Here is a 27,148-nt window from a genome sequence, read left to right on the forward strand (position 1 = left end):
CTTGTATACACAGGAGGATAAACTGTTGTTTTATGCTAAAAGTGATTAAGTTAATGAAAAATAGAAAAACAATGCATGCCATAAAGCTAAAAATGAAGATTTTGATCATGTATTGAGTAGATCCATCAGTATTGCAGTGAACACATGCCACTTAATGGTATACTGATCATGAAACCAGCAAAGATCATGATGAACTAAAAATTGAAGGGAACTGTGGATATTCAATAAGCTGGTTGCAGAAATTTAAGGAAGATATGGCATTAAATTTTTATTATTACTTTTAATTATGGGCACATAATAGTTCTATATATTTATGGGTACATGTGATGTTCGATATAGGGATAAAATATGTAATAAATCAGGATAACTGGGGTATCCATCACCTTAGCACTTACTATTTTTCGTGTTAGGAACATTACAATTCTGCTTTCTTAGTTGTTTTAAAAATTTGTGGTGATAAAGCATCTGCTGATTATAAAGCAGTGGACAGATTCACTGACGAGTTCACTAAGGTCATCAGAAATAAAAATCTGACACCAGAACAAGTCTATAATATTGATGAAACATCACTGTTTTTGTTACTGCCCCAGGTGAGACAGCCCCTATATGAATTAAGGATACCAATGACAGAAGAACTCTGCTGAGATATATTAATACAGCAGGCCCACATAATTATAAACTTGCTATGATAGGCAAAAGTTTGCATCCTTGCTATTTTCCAGGAGTGAATTTCTCACCAGTCCATTATTATGCTAACAAAAAGGCATGGATCACCAGGGCCATCTTTCCTGGTCGGTTTCATAAACATTTTACACCAGTGGTTTGTGCTCACTGCAGGGAAGCTGGCCTGGGTGATGACTGCAAGATTTTGTTATTCCTTGATAACTTCTGCTCATCTTCCATCTGAAATTCTCATTAAAAAATGTTCATGCCATGTATTTTCCCCCAAGTGTGACTTCATTAATTCAGCCATGTGACCAGGGTGGGTATCCTTAGATCAATGAAGAGTAAATATAAAAACACTTTCTTAAAGAGCATCCTATCAGCAGTGAGCAGAAGCATGGGTGCAGAAGGTTTTCAAAAGGATGTTTAGCATGAAGGATGCCACATGTGCTGTTGCCAACACTTTGAACACATGACTAAAGACACAGTTGTGCGTGACTGGCACAATCTCTGGCCTGTGATTACGTTAACTGATGATGATAAACAAGGTGGTGACTTTGAAGGATTCTGTATGTCAAGTGAGAGAAAAATGTCTGACCTCCTTACATATGCAACAAATATACCTTCAGAGTCCATCAGTAAGCTGGAAGAGATGGATATTGAAGTGGTTTTTAACATCACTAATGAGCATCCAGTTGTTCATTCATTGACCAATGGTGAAATAGCCAAAATGGTTCTGAATCAAGGTGATTATGATAATAGTGATGATGAAACTGTTAACACTGCAGAAAAAGTGCCTGGAAGTGACACTGTGAAAATGTGTGATGGGCTTATTGAAAGACTAGAGCAGCATGAACAAGAAATCATGTCAGTTTATAAAACCAAAAAGAAATTTGTAAGACAAAAACCTTTGTTAATGAGGCAGATAACTCTAAAGGAAACACTTCAAAATGCCATCGAACAGGATTCCTTCTTATCCCTAGATGACCCACTTCCGGATTCTTTAACTGCTGCTGCTGTTTTTCTCACCCAGAAAAATAAAATGCCCTATGCAGTAATCTTTTACTCAGAACACAACATTGTAGGTAGAGGCAGAAAGCTTGCCATTGTTTGTTGTTGCTGTTGTGTAACAGCTGATAACAGGTATTCTGATGATGCTACTGTACTACTTAGTTATCCTGAACACATTTTTTTACTGTAGTAATGGTATGTCACACGTTTACTCTTAAGTACTTATGAATGAATGTGTAAGAAAATGACTGCTTATTGGTAGCATATAAATTCAGTCAGGAATGATGGTGATGCCAAACAATTACAGATTGTCCACATGGGTGGCTCAGACAGTGACACCTTTACATTCCATTGGTTCAATGTAGACAGCTTTGTTGCATGCACAAAATTATCAAAAATATTATATAAAATTGCCTTCAGGCTATGTGTGTAAGGTGTTTTGTGTTTAGACCTGGGTACCATCCTCAAGATATCTCAGTATGTACCTGTAAATATTCCAAAATTGAAAAAAAAAAAAAAACACCACCAAACAAACCCCAAATCCAAAATACTTCTGGTAACAAGCATTTCAGACAGTGAACAGTTAACCCGTAATTACTGAGAGAAGGACTTATGTCTTAGAGCTGTTTTTTTGTTTGTTTTGTTTTGTTTTTTACATATAGGCTTTTTGTTACTCATTTCCTCCATTGCTGCCTTCTTTTGTTTTTAGTTGTGACATGTTTTGATTCCCTTCTCATTTCCTTTTGTACACACTCGATAGTTATTTTCTCTGTGGTTATCATGGGAATTATATATAACATTCTAAAGTTACAACAATCTAATTTAAATTGATATCAAGTTAACCTCAAGTGTATACAAAAACTCTTATAAAGCATTGTCACTTCCCCTACTTTGTTATTCATGTCACAAATTACATCTTTATATATTGTGTACCTACTAAAGAGCTTTATAATTATTTTTATGCCTTTGTGTTTTAATTCAGGTTGATAATAATAAGTAGAGTTACAAACTAAAATTATAATAATACTGATTTTTATATTTGACTGCCCAGTCTTCCTGGACATATAATTCTTGGTTAATCTTTATTTTTCTTCTAGCACTTTAATTATACCTTCTGGCCTCCAAAGCTTCTGCTGAGAAGTCAGAATCCCTCATTATTGAGAATCCCTTGTATATGATGAGTTTATTCTCTCTTGCTGCTTGCAGATTCTCTTTCAACAATTTGATTATAAGGTATCCTTTGGGTTGATTCTACTTGAAGTTCATTGAGCATCTTACATTTGTGGATCCATGTATTTCCTCAAATTTGGGAGGGTTTTGGTCATTATTTCTTCAGATCATCTTTCTGATCCTTTCTCTGTTCAATGAGCATCTTGGATTTGTGGATCCATGTATTTCCTAAAATTTGGGAGGGTTTTGGTCATTATTTCTTCACATAATCTTTCTGATCCTTTCTCTCTTCCCCTTCTGGGACTCCCATAATGTATATATTGGTATATTTGATGATGTCCCATAAATCTCATAGGTTTAGTTCACTTTTCATAATTCTTCTTGGTCCTTAGAATTGATAATTTCAAATATCGTATCATAAAGTTGGCTGATTTTTTTTCTTCTGCCTACTCAAACCTTGAACTTCTCTAGTAAATTTTTAAATTCAGTTATGGGACTTTTCAGTTGCTTCAGGATTTGTTTGGTTCCTTTTTATAATTTTTCTTTTTTGATATTTTCATTTTGTTCTTATGTGTTTTTTTTTTAATATTCTTTAGTTCTTTATATGGTTTCCTTTCACTCTTTGAACATATTTAAGGCAGCTGTTTTAAAGACTTTGCCTAGTTAGTAAGATGTCTGTGCTTTCTCAGGTTTGATTTCTACCAATTAATTTTGCTCCTTTGAATAGGCCATGTTTTCCTGTTTCTTTGTATGCCTTGTGGGGTGTGTGTGTGTGAAACTGGGCATTTGAAAAAGCCATCTTTCCCGGTCTTTGCAGACTAGCTGTGTGCCGGGACAGTCCCACTAATTAGCTAGGTTTGCTCTGAGCATAGGAATTGGCCTGAGGTAAAAGCTTATGGTCTTGTCAGGTCTTTTCTGAAATGTGTGTTGACTGGGCCTGTGTGTGGCTTTCTCAATTCCCCTGTATACATGGCTGCTTTTGAATGCCTTAATTTCTGTAAGAAAATGGCCTGTTGCATGGCAACAGTGATGTCATCTTGAAGCAAAACTGACATGATGACGGATGTTTGACTCCTACATACCAAGGTGTTCTGCAGCAAGTTCTTTAGACAATGCCTGTAGCATAGATAATCCCTAATAAAGATGTTTATCTAGCCTCTACAGTGATCATGGGTTTTGGCAATATAACCCCTCATGAGAATGCTTATTTAATCTCTCCAGTTTTGTCAAGAAAGTCTGAGACATTACCAGCTGCACATGTCTTTACCTCTGATTTTTTATGTTAACTGTGGGGTAACAAGGACAAAGAGCTTCCTATTCTGAAATTTGGCTGTATGTCACTCAGAGTGTGGAACTGAAAGAAGGAAGAGGCTGAGGGGAGAGGAATTTTCCAGGTATGGTAGTCTTCCTTTATCCATGGGGTATATGTTCAAAGACCCCCAGTGAATGCTTGAAATAGCAGATATTACCGAATCTGATGGCTGTCAATTCGAACACCTTTCTGTTTGTGTCTTTCACCTGCAAATGTAATGACTTCCATCGTAGCTAAGCACTTATCACACACTGTGGCTGTAACTTTTGCAGTTTGAGGTGCAACAGCACAACTCATGAATTTCTGTTTCCTTCTTCACAATGTCATGGATAGAGGATTCATATGTAATGTACCATAGATCTTAGCAAGCTCCGCATATGATATATATCCTTATTAAGTTGAGAACTTTCACCTTTTTACTCACTGAGAGCACCATAAGATGCATCTCTTTGTTATATCTGAATTGCCAGCATCACTACTTTTGTGCTTTGGAGTCATTATTAAGTAAAATACAGGTTGCGTGAATACAAGCAGTGCTACACCATTACAGTCCATCTTTTAACCAAGATGGCTGCTAAGTGACTTATGGGCAGGTGGCATATACAGTGTGGGTACACTGGACAAAGGGATTCACATCCTGGACAAAACAAAATAGGACAGTGTGAGATTTCATCACACTACTCAACAGTGCACGATTTAAAAATTATGAATTATTTATTTCTGGAATTTTCCATATAATATTTTTGGGCTGTGGTTGACTGCAGGTAATTGATACCACAGAAAGGAAATTAGCAGATAAGGGGAGACTACTATAATAGCAGTATAAATATCTGAGTTCTTTACCTCAATTGAATGATTATTACTATTTTAATGGCTAGTACCATCATGCTAAGCCTATTAGTAAGGATAAAGATTTACAGCTGTGCAATTAAGCTATAAGTTTCCCCATGTGAATTATAAAAATCTCAAGTTCTGTGAATTTATAGCTCTTGCCTAGAACAATGAGAAAGATGAGGGTTGTATGGTCAAAATTTTTGGAAATGTTAAGATAAACAAACAGTTAAGTTTGTGATTTCTGAGAACATTTCATGTACACCAGAAATTTTTAAAGAAATTAGTTTGTCTTAATATATCCTTCAAGTATTTAGCCATATATATTTTATTTTACTGAGTGTTTTATGGCACTATTATATTAAGGAGTTCAATCTGGGAACTATATCCATAGAAAACTGATTAGAATTGCTATAGAGCACTGGCTCTCAATTTTTTGCAATTTATGGAGCATTTCCACTGTAACCTCATTTCATTGCCTATACAAAAAAGATCTCTCCAAAGTTTATAGAACTAAACGCCTGCACCAAAAAGTTAGAAAGATCTCAGATTAACAATCTAACATCACACCTAGAGGAACTAGAAAAACAAGAATAAACTAACCCCAAAGATAGCAGAAGAAATGAAGTAACTAATATCAGAGCAGAACTAAATGAACTTGAGATCCAAAAATCCATACAAAGAATGAACGACACCAAAAGTTTATACTTTGAAAGGATAAACAGGTATGATAGACCACTCATTTGATAACAAAGGAAAAAAGGATGATCTAAATAAGCACAATCAGAAATGACAAAGGTAATATTATCAGTGATCCCACAGATATACAAAAGATCCTTAGAAACTAATACAAACATCTGAATGCACATGAACTAGAAAATGTAGAGGAAATAGATAAATTCCTGGAAACACACAACCTCCCAAGATTGAGCCAGAAAGAAAGTGAAACCCTGAACAGAACAATAAACAAGTTATGAAATTCAATCAATAATAAAAAGCCTACCTTTTTTTTTTTTTTTTTTTTTTTGAGACAGAGTCTCGCTCTGTCGTCGAGGCTGGAGTGCAGTGGCATGATCTCGGCTCACTGCAATCTCTGCCTCCTGGGTTCATGCCATTCTCCTGCCTCAGCCTCCCAGGTAGCTGGGACTACAGTCACTCACCATCATGCCTGGCTAATTTTTTGTATTTTTAGTAGAGACGGGGTTTCACCGTGTTAGCCAGGATGGTCTCGATCTCCTGACCTCATGATCTGCCCACCTCGGCCTCCCAAAGTGCTGGGATTACAGGCGTGAGCCACCGTGCCTAGCCAGAAAGCCTACCAATTTTTAAAAAGCCCCGGACCAGATGGATTTGCAGCTGAATTATACTAGATGTATAAAGAAGAACTTGTACCAATCCTACTGAAACTATTCCAAAAATCAGGTAGGAGGGAACTCCTTCATAACTCATTCTATGAAGCCAGAACCACCCTGATACCAAAACCTGGCAAAGACACAATGAAAAAAGAAAACCACAGGCCAATATGCCTGATGAACATAAATGCAAAAATCCTCAACAAAATTCTAACACATTGAATCCAGCAGCAAATCAGAAAGTTAATTCACCATGATCAAGCAGGCTTTACTCTTGGGATGCAAGGTTGGTTCAACATATGCAGATCAATAAGCGTGATTCACCACATGAACAGAATTAAAAACAAAAACCATATGATTATCTCAATAGACATGGAAAAAGCCTTTGATAAAATCCAACATCCTCCTTGATAAAAAACCCTCAACAAGCTAGGCATAGAAGGAACAGACCTCAAAGTAAGAGCCATCTATGACAAACCCATAGCCAACATCATACTAAATGGCAAAAGCTGGAAGCATTCCCCTTAAGAACAGGAATAAGACAAAGATGCCCACACTCATCATTCCTGTTCAAAAAAGTACTGGAAGTCCTAGCCAGAGAAATCAGGAGAAGAGAAAGAAATTAAAGGCATCCAAATAGGAAAAGATTATCTCTCTTTGCTGATGATATGATTCTGTACATAGAAAACCCTAAGGACTTCACCAGAAGACTCCTAGACCTGAAAAATGACTTCTGTAAAGTTTTGGATACAAAAATCAACAGAAAAATCAGTGCCATTTCTGTATACTAATAACATTCAAGCTGAGAGCCAAGTCAAGAACATAATCCCACTTACAATATCAATACACAAACAAAATAAAATACATAGGAATACACCTAACCAAGGAAGTGAATGAACTACAAAATACCGCTGAAAGAAATCACAGACGACACCAACAAATGGAAAAACTTCCACGTGCCTGGATTGGAAAAATCAATATCATTAAAATGTCCATACTGCCCAAAGCAATCTATGGATTCAACTCTGTATCTATCAAACTACCAAGGTCATTTTTCATAGAAATAGAACAAAAACCATTCTAAAATTCATATGGAACCAAAAAAGAGCCCAGATAACCAAAGCAATCCTAAGCATGAAGAACAGAGCTGGAGGGATCACCATTACCCAACTTTAAACTATACTACAAGTCTGCAGTAACCAAAACAACATAGTAGTAGTACAAAAACAGACACAGAGACCAATGTAACAAAATAGAGAACACTGAAATAAAGCCACACATCTACAGGCATCTGATCTTCGACAGTCAAGAAAAGAAGTTGGGAAAGGACTCCCTATCCAATAAATGGTTCTGGAATAGCTTGCTAGCCATATCTTTTCACCATATACAAAAATTAACTTAAGATTAATTAAATAATTAAATGTATGACCTCATACCATATAAGAATCCTAGAAGAAAACCTAGGAAATGTCCTTCTGGACATTGGCCTTGGTAAAAAATTTATGATTAAGTAAGTCCTCAAAAATAAATGCAACAATAACAAAAATTGACAAGTGGGGCCCAATTAAACCAAAGAGCTTCTGCACATCAAAAAAACTATCAACAAAGTAAACAGACAGCCTACAGAATGAGAGAAAATATTTGCAAACTATGCTATGCATTTAACAAAGGACTAATAAGCAGAATCTATGAAAAACTTGAAATCAACAAGATAAAAACAAATAAGTCCATTAAAAAGCATGAAAATGACATGAACAATCATTACTCAAAAGCAGACATACAAGCAGTCAACAAACATGAAAAAATGCTCAATGTCACTAATCAAAGAGATGCAGATCAAAACCACAATGAGATACCATCTCACACCAGTCAGAATGGCTTTTGTTAAAAAGTCAGAAAATAACATATGCTGTGAGGTTGTGGAGAAAAGGGAATGCTTATACACTGCTGGTGGGAATGTAAATTAATTCAGCCACTGTGGAAAACAGTCTGGAGATTTCTCAAAAACTGAGAACTATCATTCAACCCGTTGATCCCATTCCTGAGTATATACCCAAAGGAAAATAAATTGTTTTGCCAAAAAGACACATGCACTTGTATGTTCATCACAGCACTACTCACAATAGCAAAGACATGGAATCAACCTAGGAACCCATCAATGATGGATTGAATGAAGAAAATGTAGTATATATACACCATGGAAAACTATACAGCCATAAAAAAGACTGAAATAACATCCTTTGCAGCAACATAGTTGTAGCTGGAAGCCATTACTGTAAGTGAATTAACTCAGTAATAGAAAACCAAATACCACATATTCTCATATGTAAGTGGGAGTAAAGCATTAGGTACACATGGACATAAAGATGGGAATAATAAACACTGGGGACTAATAGAAGGGCAAGGAGCAAGGGCTGAAAAACTACTTCTTGGGTACTATTGCTTACTACCTGGGTGATGGGGATCATTCATACCCCAAATCTTAGCATCATGCAATATACCCATGTAACAAACCTGCACATATGCCCCCTGAAGCTAAAATAAAAGTTGAAATTATTAAAGAAAAAAACTTCTAAAAAATTCACCAATACAGTAGTTTCTCCTTTAGAGATAATTTGGGAGGACCAAATAAGGTAATGTTTGTCACAGTACTTAACATAGGACACTATATTAATATAAACTTTAAAAATTAAACTTTTAAAGATAATTATATATTAATATGCAGTTCTAAGAAATAATGGAGAAGTCCCATGTCTCTTTTATCCAGTTTCTTCCAATGATAATATTTTACAAAAATTTAATACAATGTTACAACCAAAATATTCACATTAATACAGTCAAGATTAATGTAAAATTTTTAAGTTGTAGGAAGTGTTACATATGCCATATATAAAGAGCTGGATCATAAAGTACTATTACATGTTCAAATGTATCCTTTCTAGATGTTTGACATTTAGGCATTAGGTCAAAATAATCTAGATATCAAAACTAGGCAGAGATATTGAAGCAAAACCATGAGTCTGTAAGTCTGATCCCTCATGAATGTAAATGCCAACATTTAAAAATAGTAAATGAAATGCAGGAATATGTAAAAATACATCATCACAATTAAGAAGTATTTATTCTGGAACGTAAGGTTAGTTTGCCATTTGAAAATCAATGCAATTCACGATATTAATAGAACAAAGGAGAAAGATCATGATAATCTTGATAGGCACAGGAGAAGTATTCGATAAAATTCAATACCTATTCATGATAGAAACTCTTAGCAAACTAGTTACTGAAGGGAACTTTATTAATATGAATAAAAGGTTTATTAAAAACCTGGGGAAAACTTTATGCTAACTGGTGAATTATTGAAAGCTTTCCCTAAGAATCAAGAAATAGAAAATAATGCCGGTCACAACTTCTACTTATCTTTATACTAGAGCTTCTAGTCAGTGCAATAATAAGGAAAGAGAAGTAAAAAGCATAAGAACTAGAAAGGAAGGAATTAAAATGTCCTTATTTGCTGATATGGTTTGGATGTTTGTCCCCTCCAACTCTCATATTGAAATGTAATCCCCCATGTTGGAGGTAGGGCCTCATGGGAGGTGTTTGGGTCATGAAGGCAGATCCCTCTTACATGGCTTGGTGCCCTCCCCATGGTAAGAACTGAGTTCTTGCTCTGTTAGTTCACATGAGAGCTAGTTGTTTACAGGAGCCTGGGTCCTCCTCCTCTCTCTGTTTCTTCCCCTCTTACCATGTGATATGGCATCTCCCCCTTTACCTTCTACCATGATTTGAAGCTTCCTGAGGCCTCACCAGGTACAGATGCCAGCACCATACTTCTCATATAGCCTGAAGAACCTTGAACCAAAATAAACCTTTTTTCTTTATAAATTACTCAGTCTCAGGTATTCCTTTATAGCAATGCAAAGAGACTAACACATTTCCAGACGACATGATGTGGATGCAGAAAATTCAAAAGAATTTACTAACTGTTGGCATTAATAAGCGAATTTATCACTTATTGCTAGATATAAGGTCAATATATACAACAGTCAATTGTATATATACCAGAAATAAAACAGAAAATGAAATTTAAAAATAAGATTACCACATACAAAGGAGAAAAAGAAATACTTAAATCTAAAGGAAGATGTGGAAGACCACTACTATGAAAACTACAAAACATTTTTCATAAGAAATAGAGAAGACCTAAATAAATGGAGGGATAGATCATATTCATGGATTGGAAAACAATATTATAAAGAAATAAATTCAGCCCAAATGTATCTATGAATTAAATGAGATTCTAACCAGAATTTCAGCCCCCACTGTTTTTGTTTCTTTTTTTTCCTTGAGTGAGTCAGGGTATAAGCTGATTTTGAGATTTATATGGAAGGATAGCCAAGTCTATCTTAAAGAACAAAGCTGGGCAATTTTCACTACTAAATAATAACATTGACAGCCAGAGTTGCTTAAAGCAGTGAGATATTTGTGCAAGTATAGACAAACAGAGTAATAAAATAGAACATGATCCAGAAACAGCCTATATATTATACTGTCACATATACAAAATTACAATACCTTTTCCACCGGAATGGCTAAAATAAAAAAGAGAGACAATATCAAGCATCATTGAGGATGGCCAAAACTGGAACTCTTACATACTGCTGGTGAGAAGGGAAATTGTTAACAACTACTTTGGAAAACTGGAAGTAGCTACTAAGGCTGCATATCCTACGTCACAGGAGTTCAACTTCTAAGCACAGTCAAACAGATCTGCCTACCTATGTCCATTAAAAGACATACACAAGAATGTTCATAGCAACACTATTCGCATTAGCCCCAAACTTGAAACAACCCAAATATCCATCTAAAGTAGAATAAATTGAAGTACATTCATGCATTGGAATATTGTTATACAGCAAGAAGAGTGGAAGAATTATAACTATATGCAACATACGAAAGATTCTCAGATTCATAATGTTGAATAAAAGGAGCCAAATACAAAAGAATATAGGTATGAATCCATTTAAGTTTGAAAAAAGGCAAATTAGTCTATAATGTTACAAATCTGGACAGCTGGGCTGAGATTATAGCATCTTGAAGTGGGTATAGGAAGGCTTCTGGGGTCCTGGTAACATATGTTACTTGGTCAGGATACTGTTTACAAGGATGTGTTCACTTTGTGAAATTCATTGAGTCACATGCTTATGTTTTGTGCACTTTTCTGTATGCATGTTAGACTTCAATAAAAAGTTTAAAAAATTACCAAATTGTTCAGATTATCATCATCCAGCTTTTCCTTTGGCGCCTCTTGCTTTTAACTATGGTGGCAGTATTTATGTCTGATGCTTTTTTACAGACTTTCCCATGTAAATGGAACTACTCTTTTGCTATCTCACATAATTTGGCTCCTTGCTTGCATCAAAGAACCACTTTGAAAGCCAAAAATTTAATAACTTTCAGCTTTGGGATAAGTTTAAGAGAATAATTGAATTAAATTGAGGGAATTTGAAAGAAAATTAGCTTTCCCCAGCATGATGTGGGCTGCAAAAAAGAACTAGGTAGAGACCATGATGAGGAAACAAGAAATTCTTTGTTAATTCCATTCGGAATTATGAGTGAGAATCACCCAGTTTTCTGCAGCAAAACTGGAGTAGAACATTCATGTAATAGGGCAACCTCTTGAAAGTTACTGATGTTATTTAATAGTATCTTTGTCAAAACATAGTAATCTAGGTCAAAGGCTGAGGCCTGAGACAAGGCTGAGAAAAGGGAAGTCACAGGGTATCAGTGAAAATATATTTGCTAGAAATGACGCAGGGCTCAAAGTGGGTACACTAAGCTTTCTGGCTAGGAATTATCCGCTGGCCACAGTAACCTCATCAGAGAATACACAGGAAGTGAGATGCATTTTGGTGAATTGGGGAGTTTCTTCATTTTGCTGAAATTTTGTGATAATCTCTTCACATTCTCTTTCACTCTTACTAATTTTAAATAGCTTTAAAATGCAAAGATGGCCCTCATTATATCTGATACCCTGGAATAAAAGGCAGGGTACAGGACAACTAAGGAAAATTCCCAGAAAATTGGTTAGGACTTAACTTCCTGCTTTGTTTTCCTAAATGGCTAGAGGGATAGGGATGGAGGATATTTCCCCATCATATAACGTCATCATTCCTATAAACATGGTATGCTTTCATCATTTAGTTAGAAGTGACTTCTCATAGCAAATATAAATTGTACTTACTTCACAGAGTTGTGGTGAAAATTAGTTATCTGTAACTTAACATTCAATAAATATTAAGTGCTATTATTAGTAGTAGTACACACATTAATATCCCTCCCTAGAAAGTAACAAGATATAGTGATAGGTCAATTACAGTTATTCTTATCCAATACTGCATTAATAGTGAGTATTCCCTATCCATTAGAAACAGAGATATGAAAGTGGTCTAATCAATCTGGAACTCTTTCAGGATGGGGGAAGGAGAATGGGATTATCTTGCTAGTACCTGTCAGCCCTGGTATTCAGGTTTAGAGCTACCCTGCTGGAATGGCTTTGAGTCCTTCAGTACCACCTTGAAGATTAGATCTATGTGGTGGCATCAGAGAGAAGCTGACAATTGGTCCCTTTGGCTGCAAACAGCATTACAAAAACAAAGCACAAGATCTGTCAATGGAAAGGCTTGTATAAGATTTTTCAAGCACTTAAAAGTGGAAATCTTTTTAAAACTTATTTGTTTCAGAGGAGTTCCACAGAAAAATGAATTCTAGTACAATCCTGAGGGTTCTTTGCCTACTTTAGGAATAATAAATACTCAGGAAGAAAAGGAATTGGATTTGTAAGTATCAATATTGCTCAATTTAGCAGCATTAGATAAACTGAGTTTTAAAAAAAGATGTTAGCATTGATATTACAGTAATTTTTATAAACTTTCATTTTTTATGTTATAAAATTTAAATGGACTTTCAAATTCATTCTAAGGCTTCTGATCTGTCTTCTTCAGAATACTATGGTTTAAAATGATTCTAGCAGCTTCTAAACAAAAACAATCACCCATCAAACCCAAAATCTCATATGAAATACTTTGCCTGATATAGGAGAGAATTCTTTTGAGAAATGACATGTCTGTGTATAAATAAAGGATTATATAAATTTCTGTGTTGGTTAATTTTAGTAACAGCACTATGATAATACTAAGCTCTTTCTCCCAAAATCTTATGAAAAGAATATCCTTTTGACTTTTTGCTAAATGATGACTATAGTAATCACTGATTAGAAATTTTCACATAAACACAATTCCAACTTGTGTATCAACATTGTGCTGTTTGTCAAAGCTTAATTCTTCTTTTTATAAGGCACTGTCTTTACAAACAAAGTAATTCAAATTAACCATCCATGTCCTCCAAACATAAATAGAAATGATACTAACTATTGATTAAAATAAAAAGCACTTAAAAATAGCGTTAATTCTTACCAACCCCAGAGGTTATTGATTCTGCATCAATGTCACTAGCTCTTTTTCTTGCCACTTCAGCTAGTGCCAATTCACCTTTATCTAGTGCAAGGTAATGAATATCCTGAGGAAATAAAGCAAAATAAAAGATTGATTCAAAATGAACCTTGCCCAAGTTACAAGGAGGATTTTGAAGGAAACTTATTGTCCAGATTACAAAATAGAAACAGTTTGTAAATATTCTTTTCTGTGTTTTAAGTTTCTTAGTTTTCTAGTATAAGCAAATTTTTCTGAATTGGAGATCACAGCTATAACTAAAGGCAAGTATTTAAATAAATTATTTTAAGCTGTGAGGGAAAATACAAGTTTTTAATAAAGTGTTTGACAAAGTTTTGTCAGGGAATAAAAATGTTAATTGCTATTTTTCTTTGGTAAGACATTAATATCCAAGAGTGTGTCTTCAAATTTTAATTGTATATTATGCTAAGCACGATACAAGGGATACTAAACAGATTTGTTGCTGCATATGGCATATATTTGTTATTATTAATATTACTAGTATTTTGAACTCAAATAATTAGTACTGACTAATTGCTGGGCACTGTTTTGGAGTATGGCGATCAATTATAATACCATATCTCAGAAAGCTGTATGCCCAGTGGGGAGAGAGACCACTGTAAACCAATAGTTAATTACAAAAAAGTATGATAGATTTTATAGCACATATGTGCAGAGTGCTGTGGAGCCAAAGAGGAGGAACTGATCTCTGATGGTAGTCTTGAAGGGTGAATAAGAGTCACTATAAGAGGGGGAAAATGGAGAAAAGGTGACTGACAGGGAATGAATGACATCTGGTGCAGATATGCAGAGAAGCTTGAGAAAACACAACTCTCTCTGACAATGGCAGATCTTTCGATATGGAAGGAGTGTTGGATGTGTGGGAGAAAGCAGTGAAAAATAATACTGAACAAGTGGAGTCACTAAAAAGGATTTAGATCTCTTTTTGCTACGCGGAATGATTGTTGGAATGAAAATTTTATTGAAATAAAAATGGGAAAAGAATATGAACAACCAGTTTACAGTGAAGAAATAAATATAAATGGCTTATCATTAAAAGATATGTGACCTTATGCAAATAAATGCAAGCTGAAAAATGTAATTTCAAATTGGATAAATCTTTAAAAGTAAATAATAATTACAGGTTGCAAAGTTTTGGGAAAACAGGCATGTAACATTTACTGGGAATATAATTGGTTAAGACTTTATTTATTAATTTATTTTTTGAGACAGAGTCTCACTCTGTTGCCAGGCTGGAGTGCAGTGGCATGATCTCAGCTCACTGAAACCTCTGCCTCTTCAGTTCAAGTGATTCTCTTGCCTCTGCCTCTTGAGTAGCTGGGATTACAGGCACGCACCACCACGCCTGGCTAGCTTTTGTATTTTTAGTAGAGACGGGGTTTCACCATGATGATCAGGCTAGTCTCAAACTCCTGACCTTGTGATCTGCCCGCCTCGGCCTCCAAAAGTGCTGGGATTACAGGCGTGAGCCACCAGCACCCGGCCGGTAAAGACTTTATAGAGCCAAGGATCAGTAAGCTATGGCCCATGGGCCAAATCTAGCCTGCTTTTGATACAGTCCTCAAGTTAAGAATGGTTTTTACATTTTTAATGGTTGGAAGAACTGTGCTCAATCACTGCTATTGAATGCTGAGTGGCTTTGAAATTAGCTTTTGCTGCAGATTTGAAAAGGTTTCAAGCTAAAGTTACAATGTAAAACAGTGCTTATACGTGAAACATACTGTGATAAAATCATTTCATTTCAACGAGAACATTGTTTGAATTGCAAGTAATGTCAGGCTGCATCACATACTTCCTGCACTGTCGAAAGGTTTTTTTTTTTTCTGTTTTTTTTTTTTTAATCTCCATTCCTACACAAATTTTCAGCAATATATTTTCTGATTTCAAACTACAGCAGTGTTTTTCAGACCTTGATGCAAGTGCAAAGGAAATTTACATATTCCAAAATCCATTTAACTGTGCAATTGAGGAACTTTAATTGGAAGTGATTTGCAATGTAATGACATGCTAAAAGGCATTCTAGCCTTTTAGCTAATAGAATTCTAAAAATGCCTGCCAGTCTGTTGAATATACTCAATTAAAAGCATATACTCATGGATTGATATCAGTATTTGGCAGTACTTATATATGTGGAAAGACATTTTCAAAGGTGAAGTATGTAAAATCTCATTGTAGATAAGCATTAACAGATGAACGTCAGCTAAAGATTTTGATGATAGGAAACACCAGCTTTCAAATCCAATTAAGTGAAGTGTTACCTCCTCTGAAAAGGATTCCATTCTTCACATATATAGAGCTATATCACAAAAATTGTCCTCTTTTAATTTCATCAATAAAGATTTATGGAAATTTTCTGTCTTGTTATATAAGTACCTACATGATAACTTCAGTTTTGCCTCTTGGCTCACAAATCTCTAATATTTGCTATCTGGCCCTTTGTAGAGAAGGTTTGCTGGCCCTGTATTTTAACAATATATCATAATTTAAAATATACTTTTGGTAAATCTCCCTAAGGAAATGATGGGACAGTGTCCAAGATTGGTAATTAAAGCATTGTTTATAACAGTGAAAAACTGGGGGCAACTAAAATGTACAATCAAAATAATCATGTGGTTTTTAATTTTTAATCCAAGAATAGCATGATACTTTCATAATAGATCCTTATATTCAGAGAAGAATTTGGTAAGTTGAAAATATATACTTTTTTCAACTTTGCTAATATTTAAGATTTTTACATCTATGCTCTTAAGAATAGTCTGTGACTTTGTTTACTTGGACTGCCCTTGACTGGTATCAAGATTACACTGGCCTTATAAAATGAGTTAGGTGGCTTTCCCTGTTTTCTGTTCTTTGATAAACTTTGTATTTATTATGGAAAGCAAAAAATATGCAATACATTTGAGAAGACATTACCAACCATTACTAAAGAACATAAATGAACATCTGATTAAAATACAGACATACACATGTTTATACCTAGGAAGACAATACATTTATGAAGATTTCAATTCTGACCCAATATATTCTGTAAAACTCAGTGGAGCTCTAATCAAAATCCCCTCAACTTGATAAACTGATCTTAAAATTAATAGGTCAAAACAAATGGTCAAGAATATCTAAAACTTATTCTAGTTAATTTTAAAACTATAGAACACTGATATACAACCATATAAGCCAAAAAAAAAAAAAAAAAGAAAGAAAAGAAACAAGAAACATACCCATATATAGATGGTTCTATTTGTGGTACTATTATGAGTACTTTATGTTTAGACGTAAGTGTGGGCTATAAGATCTGTGGTCAACAAATGATTTCTGGAACATTTTCTGTCTCTTATTTTTGCATTCTTCCTTAATTCTCTGATTTCTCCCCTGTATTTTAAAAAAAGTTCTAGGGAATTGGGGTCGTCGATTTGAAGAGGGCAAATTAAAACATAAAAATAAAAAAGATCATGTTTTACTCTGCCCAGGCTAGATTCAAACTCCTGGGCTCAAGTGAACCTTCTGCTTCAGTCTCCTGAGTAGGTGGGACTACAGGTACTGGCTAAGAGGGCAAACATTAATAGTTCTTAAATTGATATTATATCTCTCCCATGAAAGTCTTAATTTCATAATCTGTTTGGAAACATACTATGCAGTCCATTTATTTGCTGATTCACTTGTGGACCTCCTCATTATTCATATATTTGAATGTGGACTTAAGCAAAATGCATTCAAGAGTATATCTCTATAATTCCATGCCCCTGAGGTCTGACAGAGTTAATTAAGCTTTAGGATCTGGTGAAAGACATATCTAGTATCTATATCACCTCTCAAGTGGCTATCTTCTGACTTCGTTTAATAATTTTTGATAGATTTAGCCTAGGAATTTAGTTTAAATGTTTGATTTACACAATTAAATGCTATGATATGAATGTCCCACCAAAACACATGTTGAAACTTAATTGCCAATGCAATGGTATTGGAAGGTGGGGCCCTTAAGAGAGGATTAGGTCATAAAGTCTCTGCCATCATGAACAAATTAATGCTGTTATCACAGGAGTGGGTTAGTTATCAAAAAAATGGGTTTGTTGTAAAAGTGAATTTGGCCCAATTTCCTTTCTCTGTCTCATGTGTTTACTCTGCCGTCTACCCTTCACCATGGGATCACTCTTACCAGATCCCAGCACCATGCTCTCAGACTTCCCAGCCTCTAGAGCTGTTAACTGAATAAATCTGTTTTCTTTATAAATTACCCAGTCTGTGGTATGCTGTTGTAGCAGCAGAAAACGGATTAAGACAACAAATGTCTGGGAAATGGTCATAGTCTAAATGAATCAAGAAAATAAAACCCACTTGGCTGTATATTTCATTTTTATGTCCTTTACCTGAGTAGGCTAGCACATACAGGAATAATGGACATGGAGTAAAGCTCATTGAGACTAATGCTAAGGTACTGTTAAGTCTAAATATACTGAAGAAATTGCAAACAAGTGGCCACCAGCAGGGTAGTCATACTCATTGTAACATTAGTTTTAATCAACAGATATTAGCTAATCAAAAATCATTCTGCAAATAACTATGCAATGTTTACTATGTGCCAGATACAGAGATGAATTTTCCATGAAGCTAATGAAGCTTAAGCTTCATTTCCACTTACTTGTAGAAGTCCTTTCTGGTATCTAATTTTGTATTTGAAAATGTAAATCCTTTTTCTTAAAAAAAAAATTCCTCAAATTATATCAGCTTCAGGCCCTGTAAAACATGGATGTACCCCCGGCCAGATGCCTAGCTATCATGGTTATAACAGACTAGTGGACTATGTTACTATATGCTACTTGTTTAGAATCACTTGTCTGGAAGACGCAACTACATGCTGTGTACAAGAGGCTCACTTCACCTCTGAGGACACACAGACTGAAAGTAAATGGATGGGAAAAAGATATTCCATTCAAATAGAAACGGAAAGATTGGAGATAGCTATACTTCCATCAGACAAGATATACTTTTAGTAAAAAGGCTGGGTGCGGTGGCTCACGCCTGTAATCCCAGCACTTTGGGAGGCCGAGGCGGGTGGATCACAAGGTCAGGAGATCGAGACCATCCTGGCTAACACAGTGAAACCCCACTATGAAAAGAGAAAAAGAAGGTCATCTTATAGTGATAAAGGGTTCAGTTCATCAAGAAGTTATAACAATGGTAAATATATTTGCATTAAACATTGGAGCCCATGAATATATAAAGCAAATATTAATAAGTTTGAAGGGGAGAGAGATTGCAATACAATAATGGTAGTAGACTTCATTACCCCCACTTTCAACACTGGATCATCTAAAGAGAAAATCAATGAGGAGACATCAATTTAAACTACAATTAAAAAAATGGACCTAACAGATATTTTACAGCATCAGCATCCAACAGAAACAGAATATAAATTCTTTTCAAGAGTACATTGAACATTCTTCAGAACATATGATATGCTGGGCCACAAAACAAGTCTTAACAAATTTAGGAAGACTGAAATCATATATTTTCTGACCACGATGGCATGAAACTATAAATCAGTAACAGGAACAATCTTGGAAAACTCACAAACATGTATAAATGAAGCATCTTTCTGAACAACCAATTGGCCAAAGATGAAATTTACAAATACCTTGTGACAAACAAAAATGAAAACACAATATACCAAAACATATAAGATGCAGCAAAAGTAGTCCTAAGAGAGTATATGGTAAAAAGTGCCTACTTCAGAAAAGAATATCTCAAATAAACAATCTAACATTACACCTCAAGGAACTAGAAAAAGAAGAATAAGCCCAAACTTGGAAGGAAATAATAGAGAAAAAGGAAACAAAATAGATATTAGAAAAATAACAGAAGAGATCAAGAAAACTAAAAGTTGGTTTTTGAAAAGATAAACAAAACTGACTAAACTTTTGGTAAACTAACAAAGAAAAAAGAGAAGATTCAAATAAAATCAGAAATGAAAGAGGAGACATTATAACTGTATACCACAGAAATACAAAGAATCACAACATACTACTACTACTATGAACAGCTGTATACCAACAACTTGGATAACCCAGAAGAAATGAATGAGCTCCAAGAAACATGCAGTCTACTAAGTCAGGAAAGAAAGAAATAGAAAACCTGAACAGACCAATAATGAGAAAGGAGACTGAATAAATAATCAAAAAGAAAAGCCCAGGATCTGATGGTTTCACTGCTGAATTATACCAAACACTGAAAGAAAAAGTAAAACCAATCCTTCTCAAGCCCTTCCAACAAACTGAAGAGGACGTACTTCCAAACTCACTGTGAGGCCAGCATTACCCTGATACCAAAGCCAGACAAAGACATTACAATAAAAGAAAATTACAGCCCAATGTCCCTGATGAACACAGATGCAAAAATCCTCAACAAAATACTATCAAACCAAATTCAGTGGCACATTAAAAAAGATCATTCACCATGATGAAGTGGTATTTATCCCAGAAACGCAAGTATGGTTCAACATATATAAATCAATAAGTGTGATACAGTGTATTAACAAGATGAAGGACAAAAACTGCATGACCATCTCAATAGATGCAGAAAAAGCACCTGACAAAATTCAACATCTGGTCATGATAAAAACTCAAAAAAATATGGAAGGAATATACCTCAACACAATAAAGGCCATATATGATAAGCCCACAGCTAATGTCATACTCATTTGTGAAAAGTTGAAAGTTTTTCCTCTAAGATCAGAAATAAGACAAGGATACCTACTCTTATCACTTCTATTCAACACAGCACTGGAAATCCTAGCCAGTGCAATTATACATGGAAAAGAAATAAAAAGTATCCTTATAGGAAAGGAAGGTGTGAAATTCTGTTTGTTGATGACACAATCTTACATACAGAAAAAACAAAAAATTGTTCAAACTGATAAATTTGCAGGTTGCAAAACCAAATTTGGTTGATTTTGCAGCTTATAAAATCAGTAAAGTTGCAGGTTATAAAATCAACATACAAAAACTTATCCAAAAAAAAATTAAGAAAACAATTCCATTTATACTAGCACCAAAAAAGAAAATACATAGGAGCAAATTTAACCAAACAGATGAAAAACCTATACACTGAAAACTGTAAAACATTGATGAAAGAAATTAAAGAAGACACAAATAAATGGAAAGATATCGGCTGGGCACGGTGGCTCACGCCTGTAATCCCAGCACTTTGGGACGCTGAGGCGGGTGGATCACGAGGTCAGGAGTTCAAGGCCAACCTGGCCAAGATGGTGAAACCCCATCTCTACTAAAAATACAAAAATTAGCTGGGTGCGGTGGCAGGCGCCTGTAATCCCAGCTACTCAGGAGGCTGAGGCAGGAGAATCATTTGAACTCGGGGGGTGGAGGCTGCCGTCAGTCAAGATCACTCCACTGCACTCTAGCCTGGGCAACAGAGTGAGACTCTGTCTCAATCAATCAATCAATCAATAAAATTAAAAAATAAATAAATGGAAAGATATCCCATATTCATGGATTAGTAGAAACAGTAGTGTTAAAATGTTCATACTACCCAAAGTAATGTACTAATTCATTGCAATTCCTATCAAAATTCCAATGTCATTTTTTTTTAGCAAAATAGAAAAAACAGTCCTAAAATCAATATGGAACCAGATAATACCCTAGAGAGCCAACAATCTTGCACAAAAGGAACAAAGCTGGAGGCAACACAATAACTTCAAAACATATTATAAAGCTATTGAAACAAAAGCAGCATAGTACTGGCATAAAAACAGACACATTGAAGAATGGTACAAGATAGAAAGCCCAGATACAAATCCAAGTATTTATGGTCAGTTGATTTTCAACAAAGCAGCCAAGAACATGCAATGGGAAAGAACAATTTATTGTCCTTTCCAATTTATTTAATAAATGGTGTTGGGAAAACTGGATATTCATGTGCAGAATAATAAAATTGGACCCTTACATCAAACCACATATAAAAATCAACTCAAAATGGATAAAAGATAGTATGTTAAGCACAAGACTTGAAACTTGAGGAGGAGGGAAAAACTCCTCAACATTTGCCTGGGCAATGATTTCTTGGCTAGGATTCCAAAAGCACAAGCAGCAAAAGCAAAAATAGATAAATGAGACTGCAATGAATGAAAAAGATTATGGACAGCAAAAGAAGGAAGTAACAGTGAAGAGATAAACCATGTATTGGGAGAAAATATTTACAAACCATACATCTGATAAGGGGCCAATATCCAAAATATATAAGGAATTCAAACAACTCAATAGTAAGAAAACTCAGTTAAAAGCTGGTAAAAGTATCTGAGCAGACATTTCTCAAAAGAGAGGTAGATGCCAACAGATACATGAAAAACACTCAACATCTCTAATCACCAAGGAAACACAAATTAAAACCACAACGAGATATCACCTCATGCCTGTTAGAATAGCTACTAATGTCAAAAAAGAAAAAAAGAACAAGTGTTGGTGAGGATATGAGGAGAAGGGAACCTGTGTATACTGCTGCTGGGAATGCAAATTAGTACAGCCATTTTGAAAACAGTATGGAGGTTTCTTAAAAAAAACTAAAAACACCATATGATCTAGCAATTGCGCTTCTGGGTATATATCCAAAGGGATTGAAATTGATATGTCAAGCAGATGTTGGTACTCCCATATATTTCAAGATTTTTCACAATAGCCAAGTTATGGAGCAACCTAAGTGTCCATCAATGGTTGAATGGATAAAGGCAATATGGTATATGAACACAATGAGATATTATATATATAGCCTTTAAAAATAAGAAAATTTTTTCATTTGTGACAATATGGATGGAACTAGAGGACATTATGCTAAGTGAAAGAAGCTAGGTACAGAAAGAAAGATACTGTATGATCTCACTTGTTATATATGGATTTTTTTTAAATTGATTTCATAGAAACAGGAAGGTGATGACAGAGGCTGGAGGTGATAGTGGTGGGGAAAGGGAAGATGCTGATCAAAACATACAAAGTTTCAGTTAGACCGTAGGAATAAGTTTAGTGATCATTTACACTATATGATGACCAGCATTAATAGCAATGTATTGTATATTTCAAAATAGATTTTTATTTTTTATCTTTTTATTTTATTTTGTAAAACAGGATCTCACTCTGTCACCCAGGCTGCAGTACAATGGCACAACCATGGCTCATTGCAACCTTGACCTCCAGGGCTCAGGTGATCCTCCCATCTCAGCCTCCCAAGTAGTGGGACTACAGGCACATGCCACCCCACTTGGCTAGTTTTGTTTTGTTTTTGTTTTTATTTTTTTTTGTAGAGACAAGTTTGCCATGTTGCCCAGGCTGGTTTCAAACTCCTGGGCTCAAGTGATCCTCTCACTGTAGCCTCCCAGAAAGTGATGGGATTACAGGCATAAGTCACTGCTCCTGGCCTTCAAAAAAGATTTTTAATGTTATGATCATAAAAAATAAATTGGTAAGGTAACAATATGTGAATTAGCTCAAGGGAATCTTTCTGCAATGTATACATAGATAAAAACATCACATTGTACCCCACAAATATACACACATCACATTGTACCCCATAAACACACACAATTGTTATCTGTCAATTAAAAATATAAAAGAATCATGCATCTTGGAGAGAGCCATCATGAAACATTGTAAGATGTTTAGTCTTTTTTTTTTATTTGTTGGCCCCTTTTTGGAGTCACTTTATAAAATTAAAATGTCATATCACAAGTCTAAATGGACAATATACATAACAGATTTGAAAAGTGTCATATTGACAATTTTTAACTTTTACTTCAACCCAACCAGTGTTACTTAGTTGATAGATGGTTAACTTATAAAAGTGTTACTAACTTGGAATCAAGTTTTCAGAAAGATATTCAGAAGAATGAATACCACTTAGTTTCTGTCATTCTCAATGACAATTTTATAATTTATCATTTGCCAATTTGACTTATATTAGCATCATCATTTAGCACTATTAAATGAAATTGGCTTCCACTCAACAAAAGATGACAAACTGACAGTCTCTGGACTTGATCCAGATTTCAAAATGTACACATATTCTGTCTATACATGTAAGATCTAAATAAAAAACTTGCTGTTCCTGGGACTTCATTACCTTTCACAGAAGACTTCTGAATGTGCTACCAGAATGAATATGCAAATTTACAGCAAAAAAAGCATTTAAAGCTAAAAAAATCTTGAATGGAGTTTCATCTTAAATCATACTTTGGATCAGTTATTGACAGATAATTATAAGTACTATAACATATTGATGTTGTTATAACCTTTTCTAATTTGTGAAATGTTCCTAGGATTGATAGGTTTCTATGAGATATGGAAGCACTAACAAAGACATGCAACAGCTTATACATATTTATGATTACTGTGTTCTTGTCCTGTATGATGCTTTGATTAGTTCAAATCCATTGATAATTGAAAAATTTTATTCGTATTCTACAGCTTTACAGGTTTAAACCCTGGTCAAAGTTGCCTTCAACACATTCAAATTCATGCTATTTCACCTACACATAAATGTGTAAAATATTGATACAATCCTCTTTATGTTTATTTTAAAATAACATTTCCTTTGGACAAATCTGATCAATAAGCAGCTTTAAGAATTGGGGAAAAATATCGTTTCTAATGCTGTATTTTAGAAGCACCATATTTTGTAGCTTTGAGGAGAATGAATGTAACTTTCAAGATAAGGAAGTATGTTAAATAACTTACCTCAGAGTTACGTTAATAGAAATAAAAATTTTAGTAATCAATTGTTAACATTTATATAAATGTTCCACAGTCTTTCTTGTATTAGGTCACAACAATGAATCATCATTTTAAAAGTGAAAATATATGGAAAGAATTGATATTTTATTTTACCAAATTAAGAATTTACTTGGCTTGTTGTATATTCTCATGTTAGAATAAGCTTGTAGGAATTACATGTTTTTGAAGGTTTTGTAGAACTCGTAAATAAAACCAAGTGCTTCCTTTCAGGAGTTCTATTTTTGATTACTGTTTGAATTTTCTCTGTGGGGTTACTGGACTATTTAATTTTTTTTTATTTCTTATGTCGATTTTAGCCATTTATATTTTTCTGGAAATTATTCACGGTGGGGAGGAGGCTTTCAAGATGGCTAACTAGAGGCACCAGCACTCACCACCTCCACAAAGAAGGACCAGAATATCAAGTAGATAATCACATATTGAATACAGCATTTAAGAGAGAACATTAGAATTCAGAGAGAAGTGACAGGGAACCTCTGAGACACAGAAGGAGAGGGAAGAAAAGTTGCCAGCCAGCCAGGATTGACAAAGAGCCAAGAGAAACTCCCCAGTGCAGGGAAAAGGTTAAAGTGAGAGGTTTATAAGCAGTCTGCTCTCCCATGATGGACTCCTACAGTCCTAGTCACAGGAGAGCCCCTCAGTCCTTATGGACCCTGAGACTAGTATAGGGACTTCTCGGAGTCCATGCAGTGGCACTGTTCCAGACAGGTAGTTTGCGCTGCATCCCACATCCCCCAAGACTCAAGCAGCTGTAGCATGATGTCACTTTGAGAGCCCAGTCACAAGAAATGATATGCTTCTCTGGGGCACAATAGCCCCTGAATGTCCACATCACTGGAGCCCTGCTGACATTTCCCCCAACATCAGCCCAGAGGGCTGTAGCATTGAGGCACCGGCTAGACTCAGGTATGCCCAGGTTTGCAGCACTCTAGCCCACATACTGTCCTGCACCTGGGAAATGGGCAGTGATGTGTACTGGGGAGGCTGCCTCTGGGACAATGGGACCAGAACCAAAGTGTGTGCTCACCAGAGCCTGAGAGCCAACTTCCTAGGTCCACTGTCACTGACAGCAGCCCTTCCTTGCTCCCAGCAGCAAAGCCAATGTGCACTTGCACATACCTTTGAGGAGCCCAGAGACCAGCCAACCTGGGCACCATCCTAAGGCCTAAGGACAGGCCCATCTTACCCACTACTGCATGAGTGCACTGTCCAGGGCCCTGAGGATTGATCTGCTTGTCTGCCACAGCCTGTGGTTGAGTGAAACATTAAGGAGCTTCAGGACTGGCTTATCTGGCCACCACTGCTGGTGCCCACATGTACCACTGAGGAGCCTGAGAATAGGTCTCCCCTGGTCACTGGCATCTGAGTACACCATCTAGGGTCCTTGGGACTGACTCATCCCATCACTGTCACTGGTGCCTACATGCACCATTGTGGTGCGGGGGAGGGGGCTTGAAAACAGGCCTGCCCTGCCCACTGCCAGTGACTGCATGTACCATAAAGAAACCTGAAGATAGGTCTACTCTGCCCACTGCCACTGCTTCCACTGCCCAAGCACACCATTTGAGGACGTGGGGAATCAACCCATCCCACCCACCAACACTAGCACCTGCACCTGCCTTTTGAGAGCATGACATCAGGCCCACCCCGCCTGCTGCCACTACTGCTGCCAACATCAACCTACATGTGCCACCTGGGAGACAGGAAACTGGCTTGCCCAGACTGCTACAACCACTGGTGCCAGTATGTATTGCTTATGAGCCTCTAGGTTGTCCCAACACTGCTACCGTCATTGCTAACATCATACATGCTGCCCAAGGACCCACCCACCCACCAACCACTGCCACTGTTGGTCCCTGAACAAGCAACCTGGAGGTCCAAGGGTTAGCCTGCATGGACTTACCACCAGTGCCCGCATATGTCACCTGGGGGTCCAAGAATTGGTGCACATCCAGCCCACCACCACCACCACTATTGCTGCCTGAAGACCAGCCCTCCTGACATTCCCATCCTCAGCAAAGCCTCACTATACCTTTCACTAACAACTGCAGCCCAAGCAACTGAGGAATTAACAGACACCACTAATTCTGATGACAGCCAATGAAATCATATGACAACTACATGAGTATGCCCAACCAGAATCAAAGCCAAATCAACCTACCCAACCAACACTATAGATACATATTTAGGAAAATGTCTTACCCTATGAAAGCCAATCTATAAAACTGGAAGAAGCAACTGTTCACTAGATGTGCAGATATCAACATAAAGACACAAGAAACATGAAAAGGCAAGGAAACCTGACACTGTCAAAAGAACATAATAATTCTCCAGCAACAGATTGCAATGAAAAAGAAATCTGTAAAATGCCTGAAAGAGGATTCAAAATAAAAATGTTAAAGCAAAATGAGATACAGCTAAAAATTTTAAAACAATCAGAAACACAACTCATGATCCGAATGAGAAATTCAACAGAGATATCATTTAAAA

General features: G+C 35.9%; 1 protein-coding gene across 20 annotated transcripts in view; it reads right to left on the reverse strand.

Moving 5' to 3' along the window:
• WDPCP (WD repeat containing planar cell polarity effector) overlaps window positions 1–27,148 on the reverse strand; it is a 721,268-nt gene that overhangs the window by 125,937 nt on the left and 568,183 nt on the right. For 13 of the 20 annotated variants that reach the window (XR_007076379.1, XM_047444629.1, XM_047444631.1 and 10 more), the window contains one exon: window positions 13,812–13,914. The exons of 2 other annotated variants lie outside the window; for them this stretch is intronic. Coding sequence is in view for 15 of the 18 variants with exons in the window: in XM_047444629.1 (XP_047300585.1) it covers window positions 13,812–13,914 (103 nt within the window). In the remaining 3 variants the exon portion in view is untranslated. Of the gene's footprint in view, window positions 1–3,397; window positions 12,970–13,811; window positions 13,915–27,148 lie in introns of those variants that run through there. 5 more of the 20 variants (NR_148704.2, NR_122106.2, XM_047444632.1 and 2 more) reach the window with 2 other exon arrangements.

This window comes from Homo sapiens, chromosome 2 (genome assembly GCF_000001405.40).
Source record: "Homo sapiens chromosome 2, GRCh38.p14 Primary Assembly".
In the NCBI taxonomy this organism is placed as follows: Eukaryota; Metazoa; Chordata; class Mammalia; order Primates; family Hominidae; genus Homo; species Homo sapiens.